Here is a 9462-nt window from a genome sequence, read left to right as displayed (position 1 = left end):
GAAATAGCCATGATTGTGGACAGTTATTTAACCCCTCTGGATCTGTTTCTCTACCTGTAGAAATGGAGACAGCAATATCTACCTTGCATTGTTTTTATGAAGATTTTAAAAAAATAAAATATGTGGATGCATCTACCTCAAAAAAAATGTGAGTTTCTCTTTCTTTTCAACTTTCTGTAATAAAGCAACATGGGCCCTCAGTTAGAATTGAAGATCAAACTTGGCAATAAGACTTGGTTTCTATATTTATTTCCTGAGCATATGGAGAGAGCAAAGGGGGTCATGGCTTTTTCAGTAGTGACACATAATTGTTTTCCTCTCAGTTCAGCATCTAGAGGAGTATCCTATTTAATCCTCTTGAAGCACCAAACTTATTCCCAGTTCCACAAATATTTCAACAAGCTATGGTGCTAGGGACAAGTGATATCACATAGATCTGAGTTTGAATTCCAGTTATGCTACTTACCAAATATGTTACTCAACTCCTGAGTAATTTACAATAGCCCCTATGTCACAGGGTTCTTGAAAGGGTTAATTAAGACTCCTCGTAAAACATAAGCGTCATAAGGACAAGAACTTTGTCTGGTTCATCACAGTGTCCTAAGTGCTAGAACAGTGCCTGGTATACATTGCGGCTCATTAAATCAATATGGAAGGGAAGGGAAGAGGAGGAGAGGGGTAAGAGCACTTAGCTAGGTGCCAAAGTGAGTGTACTAAAACTGCTAGCTGCAGGCAGTGGTCAGAGGTAACAAAGATGCAGTCCTGGCTTCAGGGGCTAAAATCTGGATCTGAAAACCAAGGTTATAGCACTTCCATACTAAGCATAATGAAACACATAATACAATACAGCACAAACATAGTGCTTTGAAAACAGGTGGTAAGTAATAATTCCAGCTGGAGGATTAGGGAAACACTTTATGGAAGAGGGCTGTGTTTAAGCTGGACCTTAAAAGATAATACAATTTTTGATAGAGGGGAAAGGGGCAGCTTTCCATGCAAGGCAAAAAAGTACAAAATTGGGAAAATATTTGGCATGTTCCAGGACCGGAGCTTAATACAAGTGATGAAAGTGCAAGTCAGGCAGAAGAAAGAACATCTAGAAGGTCAACCCCAGTGACCTTGAATGTTCAGCTATGGTGTTTAAGACAACACACAGACTTGAAGGTTTTTGAGTTGCAGAATCACAGGCACAGGCCCATATGACTATATTATATTTATTTACTTATTATTTCTATTTATTATTCAGAAATCAGTGTGAAAGGTAGATTAGATGGGATCTGGTCACTCAGATTCTTCAAATCAGCCCTGACTGTCAAACAGGCCAAATGCTTTATTTTCTCATGGATTCTTTCAATTTTTGAAAGATTTTCAATATTACATTGGAAACAAATATAATATAATCATAATAGCTCATGAGAAAAGTCCAAACTCAGGAGTTGCAGAGAATAGGGAAAGAAGGAAGAGATTTAACAGTGAGAGGGGAGGACAGGGTCAGAGTAGTTGAAAGATCACTGGGCAGTTAGGCTGCTGATGATGTTGTTTTCTGAGGTCAGGAATTCATGAAGACAAATGGGATCAGTTTAGTTTGGGAAATGTTGACCTTAAGGATGTCTTTTGAACACTCAGTTGGAAATAGGCTATTGATGCCCAAGATGTTAGAGCAGGAGAAATGGAGATGTGTCAGCATTGCTCCATCATTAACAAGATCAATGTTGCTTTTCTAAGATGTTTACAGTCAACCTAATATGTGCATATCAGAATGGAAGCATCTCAGATCAATGAAGATAGGTGAATTGTTTAATAAACAGTGTTGGGAAAATTGGCTGGCTATTTGGTCAAAAAAATGTGGCACCCATCTCATACTGCACATAAAAATAAATCCCAGATGAATTAAATGTGGAATTGAAAACACAACAAAGAAAAGTATTTAGGTAAGGAATATACACACAGATAGACACACACAGACACACACGTATTGACAAAGATATACATAAACACATTTACATCTGAATTTATTTCCATATTTACATATATTTACTGAAATCCATGAGTTCACACTGGTATCTCCAATATCAATTCAACACCACAGTGTTCATTCTAGTTTTCTCCCTTTCCTTATTTCTAACTCTCTTCTACAACGAGAACCTTAGTTCCCATTATTTTTAATTTTTTTATTAGATCAAATCCCCTGTATATAGCCAATATCTTATCATCATTGCTGCCCCTGTCCCTGAGTAGAGCCCCCATCCCATCTGGGCTCTGACATCCCACACCAGGCCACCCATCTGAATGGATGTCTACCTTTCTCTGCTCCATACAATGGATTTAGGATGGAATTGCTCAGAAAGGAGAAGGGAAGAGAAAGAAGAAGGGAAGGGAAAGGAAAAGGAAGGGAAGGGAAAGGGAAGACACTTCCATTTTTTGTTTATTGATTTATTTGTTACAGAAAATAAATACCCCAAATTGCCAAAATCTACCATTTTATTTATATATATATATATATTTGATTCCATTTCATTCAAGTACCATAAAAAGTGTACTTTTTATGTTTAATCCATTCTGGGAAAAATGAAGAGGTATTTCCCAGAGCATCACTTCCACCCAGGAATTTATAATCTCATTGAAGAAGTTAAACAATGCATATTAATAACACAAACCAAAAATAAGCAGTTCAATAGAATAGTGGCATGAGCTAGCACTAGTTCCCTGGTTCTCATAGAACCAGGTAGATGAATACACATTTTCTGCAAGCCTGACTTATCTGGGGTTTGGCTCTGACAGAATAATCCTAGCCTGCTAGGGAAGGTTGAAGACTCACCCTTAATAAAATGCAAGCGGCCTAGAGCAAGGGTTCTTTCCAAATTATTGTAACCACTTCTTCTTGCCAATGGTTTTTTTGTTTGTTTGTTTTTGACATGGTCTTGCTCTGTTGCCCAGGTTGAAGTGCAGTGGCATGATCCCGGCTCACTGCAGCCTTGACTTCCTTGACCTCCTAGACTCAAGAAATCCTCCCACCTCAGCCTCCCAAGCAGCTGGGACCACAGCCAGGCACAACTATGCCCAGCTAATTTTTAAATGTTTGGAAAGACGGAGGTCTCACTTTGTTGCTCAGGCTGGTCTTGAACTCCTGAGCTCAAGCGATCCTCCTGCCTCAGCCTCCCAAAGTGTTGAAATTGTAGGCATGAGCCATTGCACCCAGCCCTTCCTTCCAATTGAATAAAAATTGCTACCATCCCATATAACACAGAGCAGAAAACCATCTGCAAATCTTAACGGATCATTGTCCCATTCCCAAGCAGGGCGGGGTCTGTGATTCCAAGCCCTCCACTGCTCACACGCCAAATGAGAACATGGGAAAATGAACATGGGAACTGACAGTCTCCCCGCGAACGTGGGAACTGACAGTCTCCCCGTTCACTTTGTTACATAAGTGATACAAACTCTTTTTAGAAATTATACACAGGCAAAAGAGCAAACATCACACATAGTCTTACAACTTTTAGAGTAAATGCTTCCAGAATTTTTTTCTATGCATTTGTAAGGTAAGTTTTATAAATAATTGCTATGCATCAGTTTCCTCATCTGTAAAATGAAGATGATAATAATATCTGCCTCATTTGAGAGACTGAGGACAAAACATGAGTTTAAAAAAAGAGCGCTTCATATAGCACCTAGTGCATCTATAAAGGTAACACAATCTATATCTTTCTAGCACTTATCTGTCTAGATTCAGCTACATTTTTTTTTATAAAATAGATGGAAGTATTCATATTTCCTTGTAGTTTGCTTTTTTCACCTAAAGATATAGCATGATCTTCTTCCCTTGTGGGACAGTTCAAAAAGGGCAAAGAGACCGTTAGATCCTTTGAGTGACATTTTAAAGTGGAAAGTGGTGTGGGGAAATGGGCCCTAGTCCTTCAAGGGTATTATTTCGAGGTGATGAGCGAGGTTAGGGCAAAGCCTGCATCTACTACTTCTTGGACCTACAAGCTTAGGAATGCTGCTTGTATATACTCTCAGAGTCTGAGTGCCAGGCAAACCTTGAAGCTCAATCCTTTCCAATTTTGTTGTTGTTGTTGTGTAAGCAATAAAACCATGTTTCCCCCAACAAAATCTTATAAAGAACTCAACAAGTAAAACCATTCTGAAACATCAGAATACATTTATTTTATAAGCTTGAATGTATACTATTTGTTAATTGTAAGGCTTATCAATAAGATCAATAAGGCTGTTTGAGAAACAGAAACTGAAATCCAGGAATATGGATAACGATCACAGTCTTTGTCAACATCAGCTTCCATGAAATGGAATAAAACATTTGTGAAAATTTTGCAGTACCACTCTCATAGAATGAAGTACTAAAACTAGTGCCCCAACACCCTTATTTTACAGATGAGAAAATTAAGGGCCAGAGATATCGCATACTTTTTAAATATTAAGAGCACCAATAATAAAAATACTCTGATAACAGGAAGAAAATATTTTACTGAAGAAAGTATCTGGAATGGTTAATATGTATTTTCCACAAAATATGGTTCTTTTCCATTTAAATGATTGCCATATCATTCTCCAATTAATAAAATGGAAATGGTCAATTAACTTAGCTGCCATTTTTTGTTATTTTGCTTTAGTCTCATAGCTTGTAAGCCCTGAATTGTGCTGACTATGTAATTTGTATTTTATTCTGTTCCTGGATGTAAAGATTTACTGATTATCTCTAATAATTAAATTATGCATTTTAACTTATGACTCAGCATCCCACTTTCTACATATCAGCTGTTCTTGTCTATTAAATATCTATCTCATCATCTGTAATTTCAGTTCTTTTCTCATCATGAGGCTTGTCTGTAAAATTCAGGAAGCCACTATCTACAAACAGTCTCCTGCACTAATGAAACAAGGTCAAGCTTCGCTGACAGAAATTTAAAAGCTGACTCCAGATTTTACCCTGCCACTGCCTCCTTCCACATGGACAGTTGATGGACAACTCCTTAGTGTAGTTACAATTATTCCACCCTGTCTATATGAGGACCGACACACCCCTGACCTCCACATGGATCATAGTTTCTCAAAACTTTGCGTATATTTTGTCTTTTTAAAAAATATGATCCAAAGTCATGTTTTTAAAAATTATATTGTGAAATACACTATACATGCAAATAAATGTATCAGTGATGTTTATTTATTTATTTTTATTTTTATTTATTTATTTTTTTGAGATGGAGTCTCGCTCTGTCGCCCAGGCTGGAGTGCAGTGGCGTGATCTTGGCTCACTGCAAGCTCCGCCTCCCGGGTTCACGCCATTCTCCTATCTCAGCCTCCCGAGTAGCTGGGACTACAGGTGCCTGCCACCACGCCCGGCTAATTTTTTGTATTTTTAGTAGAGACAGGGTTTCATCATGCTAGCCAGGATGGTCTCGATCTCCTGACCTCGTGATCCGCCTGCCTCAGCCTCCCAAAGTGCTGGGATTACAGGCTTGAGCCACCACCCCTGGCCCCTTATTTTTATTTTTTGAGACAGAGTTTTGCTCTGTCACCCAGGCTGGAGTGCAGTGCACAATCTTGGCTCACTGCAACCTCTGCCTCCCAGGTTCAAGCGATTCTCCTGCGTCAGCCTCCTGAGTAGCTGGGATTACAGGCACGCACCCACGCCCAGCTAATTTTTGTATTTTTAGTAGAGATAAGGTTTTGCCATGTTGTCCAGGCTGGTCTTGAACTCCTGACCTCAGGTGATCCACACACCTTGGCTTCCCAAAGTGCTGAGATTACAAGCATGAGCCACCACGCCCAGCCTATTGAAGGTATTTATTTTAAAGTAATATATTCTTTTTGAAAATTAATAGTTTCATAAGATCATACTTGCTTATTGTAGACAGTTTAGAAAATATTTTAGAAGTATAAAAATACCTAATGACATGCTGAAAATCACTCATAAAAGAGTCTGCTCTTTGTTTTTCTCTCTTCCTACATATTTTGTGTCCTCCATTTTTCACTCAGGATTATAACAAGATTATTTTCTCACACATTAAATATTTTAAACAATCATGATGTCTAAAGGTATCTTAGGTATTTTAAACAATCATGATGTCTAAAGGTATCTTATTTATTCCTCTTTTATTGAACATTGGTTCTTCTCATACTATTTTTAAAATCATGAATAAGACTGTGAGGAAGAACTTTAGGTATAAATATTCATCTTCATCTCTAATTTCTCCCTTTGCATTAAAGTAATATCTTCTGACACCAGATTTTGTGAATAGATTGATAACTTCCTTGGTAATACTCCTAAATCCATTCTCATTACTATATAAATGATTTAGATAGTAAAGTTCCTGGAAAAATCATTATAAGTTTATGTCAATAGCACTGAGAATTATGGTTCCTATTTTTGGTTAGTTTACAGAGCTCTTGATCCTGTAAATCTTATGGCTTCTAGAAGTTGCTTTTGGGCTGATCTGTGTTGTCATGATGGTAAATATGCAACTAAAACAGACTAAGACTTGATAGATACCCAGGATTAATGGGAAGACCTGAAGCCAGGAAAGGAGAGATAAGGAAAGGCAGAAAAGGTAGGAAGGAGAATATATCACAGAATTGTGGAAGTTGAAACTAGAAAAAGAAAAATCAAGTGAGTAATTGGGCAAGTGTCAAAGGCAACAGAAAGATCAAGATAAGATGAATCAAAGAGATGTCATTAGCTTTGGCCATAAAGTGATTATCATTTACTTTTGAGCAGTTTAAGTGGAAGGAAAGGCAGGATAGAAGACATGGAGAATGCCTCAAGAACATTGAGTTAATAACCCATAAATCCTGAACCTCTTATCTTGCCTCAAGCTTATTCTGCTGATAACAGTAGCATAAGACAATTGACCCTTGAACAATGCGAGAGTTAGGGGAACCAGCCACCTGTGCAGTCGAAAATTTGTGTATGGCTTTATGATTCCAAAACTTAACTACTAATAGTCTACTGTTGACTGGAAGCCTTACTGATAGCATAATAGTCTATTAACACGTATTTTGTATGTTATAGGTATTATATTCTGTGTTCTTACAATTAAGTAAACTAGAGAAAAGATCATAAGGAAGAGAAATATATTTACTATTCATTAAGTGGAACTCAATCATAATAAAGGTCTTCACCCTCACCATCTTCGGTTAAGTAGGCTGAAGAGAAGGAGCAAGAGGAGGGGCTGGTCTTGCTATCTTAGGGGTGGCAGAGGTGGAAGGAAATCTTTGTATAAGTGAACCCATGCAGTTCAAACCTGTGTTGTTCAAGGGTCAACTATACATCGATTCTGTTTATTTGCTCATCACACAGGTATTTGTTAAGCACTATTACGAATGAAGCACTGTGCTAGGATAGAGGGACACATCAGTGAATAAGACACAGACATGGTTCTTGCTCTGATTAAGCTTACATTCTAGTAGAGGGAGACAGTCAATTAACAAAGAAACATTAATAAAAAGAAAATGTGACATGGTGCTAGATGCAAGTGGAATAAAACAGAATGATGAGATAGAAGTTGTTTATGGTTGGGGCAACAACGAGTTTGTACACGGTGGTTAAGAAAAAGTCTTTTCTGAAAGGTAATATTTGAGATGAATTATGAGAAGGAGCCAGCCATGGGAATGTCTAGGAGATGCGCATTTCTGGCAGAGTAAATGGTCATTGAAAGGCTGGAAGATAAACAGCCTCTTCTAGAAACAGAAAGAAAGCTAGTGTGACTGAAGTGGCATAAATGAAGGGAGAATTGGGGTGGCTAGGAAGTGATAGAGAAGGAGGCTAGAAATGTAGTTGTGGGCAGGGGCCTGATCTCATTGAGACTTCGCAAGGATTTTGGACTTTATTCAAAATAAATCAACTTTGTAGGGAGATAACCATAAGGTCAAATGATTGTATTCTTCCCCATGTCATCTAAGTGCCTCATTTAAGGTACCCTAAAGATCCAGAATGTTAGTGCTTCTAAAAATAATATGAGCAGATATAAAGGAAATCTTTTGGTTTAGTCCACTTAACACCTTTCCCTCACTTCTTCTGGTAACTGTACCCTCTTGACCTACCCCAATCCAGGTAGGTCTACCAAACAGAATCCTACTTTCCCTGGAGTCAGGGGTGTGCACATCACCCAGGTCTAGCCAATCAAAGTATCCCATTCCTCTGAACACAGTGATTGACCCAGACATGGTGTATGACTTAAGCCAGGACTATCACAATGGTGCCCTGGGATAGAGTTGGCTGCTAGAAGGGAAAAGCTGTCTCTTTCCTCTGGGGTCACCAAGCTGGTGTGATGCAAGCATGGCAATGCCTGGGGCCATTTCATCCCTTTCCCACTCAGGACTCCCTTCTCTGCACTACTTCTGCGTAGAAAGCATCTATGCATTTGGAAAGAGCAAGGCAAACATCCAGAAATAAGGGCGAAAAATGGAGAGGGAGAAAAAGAACCTAGAGCTGACAACCGAGAGCACTTGTTAACTCTCAGGGATCCCTAAAGTCAAATCCTTCCCTGGACTTGCTGATAAGAGTGTCTGAGCAAATAAACCCCTTTTTTCGATCAAGCCAGTTGCACTAGTTTCTGTCACTTGCATTCCAAAGAATCCTCACTATTATAGCATGTGAAAGAGGAAAATCAATTAGCGTTTACACACCAGTGTCTCCATTCAGCGCACTTTTTTCATCACTAGAAATAGAGGTATGTGAACAGATGGGATGTATATGACTTAAGACTTCAGTTTTCCCCCAGAAGAAATTTACTATTTGTAAATGCTTCCACAGCTATCCACGTGCTCTCCCAGCCTTCTCACCAGCGGTGTGCTGGTTAACTGGGTCTCTGGGAGAGAGAAACACACTAATTTGTAAGATTTGCCAATTTCTGTCCTATAAATACTCCCACCATTGTGGATTAAGCTGCCAAGGGTATAACAACCAGATAGCAAAATTCCTGAATATGAGTGTAGATTAGGGCAGGCTTCAGTACAACAATGCTGCCTTCTCTCTTTCTTCATGTAATCTCTCTTCACTCCTCCCTGTTTCTTTCAGTTACCTTCCCTCTCTGCCATGAAATTACTCACAATTTCACCTAGTTTTCCTACCCACCCTTTCCCCTTCCCTTTCAATCCCACCAGCATTATCATCCTGTCATGTCAACAAAATAAGGTTACTGGAAAGAGCAGAGGCTTTGGAGTAAGAATTAGATTCAGCGTCTTGTTACGTGGAATAAGTGACTTAATTACATTGAGCCTCAGTTTCCTAATCTATAAAGTGATACAAATCATATCCCTTTCATAAGAGATGTCATGAGGATTATAAGACAGTTGATATATAAGAAATGCCACGTTAAGGCTTTTGTCTTTCCCACCTCCTTCGGAGAGAACAGTAACTCCCTTAAGTGTGTGCTCAGGGCATCCCACCTCCTTAGTTCTTGCCACATCTTACTGCTATTGTCTTTCCCATTACTTAAGAGA

Source organism: Homo sapiens, chromosome 1 (genome assembly GCF_000001405.40).
Source record: "Homo sapiens chromosome 1, GRCh38.p14 Primary Assembly".
In the NCBI taxonomy this organism is placed as follows: domain Eukaryota; kingdom Metazoa; phylum Chordata; class Mammalia; order Primates; family Hominidae; genus Homo; species Homo sapiens.
Note: the sequence above shows the minus strand (reverse complement) of the source record.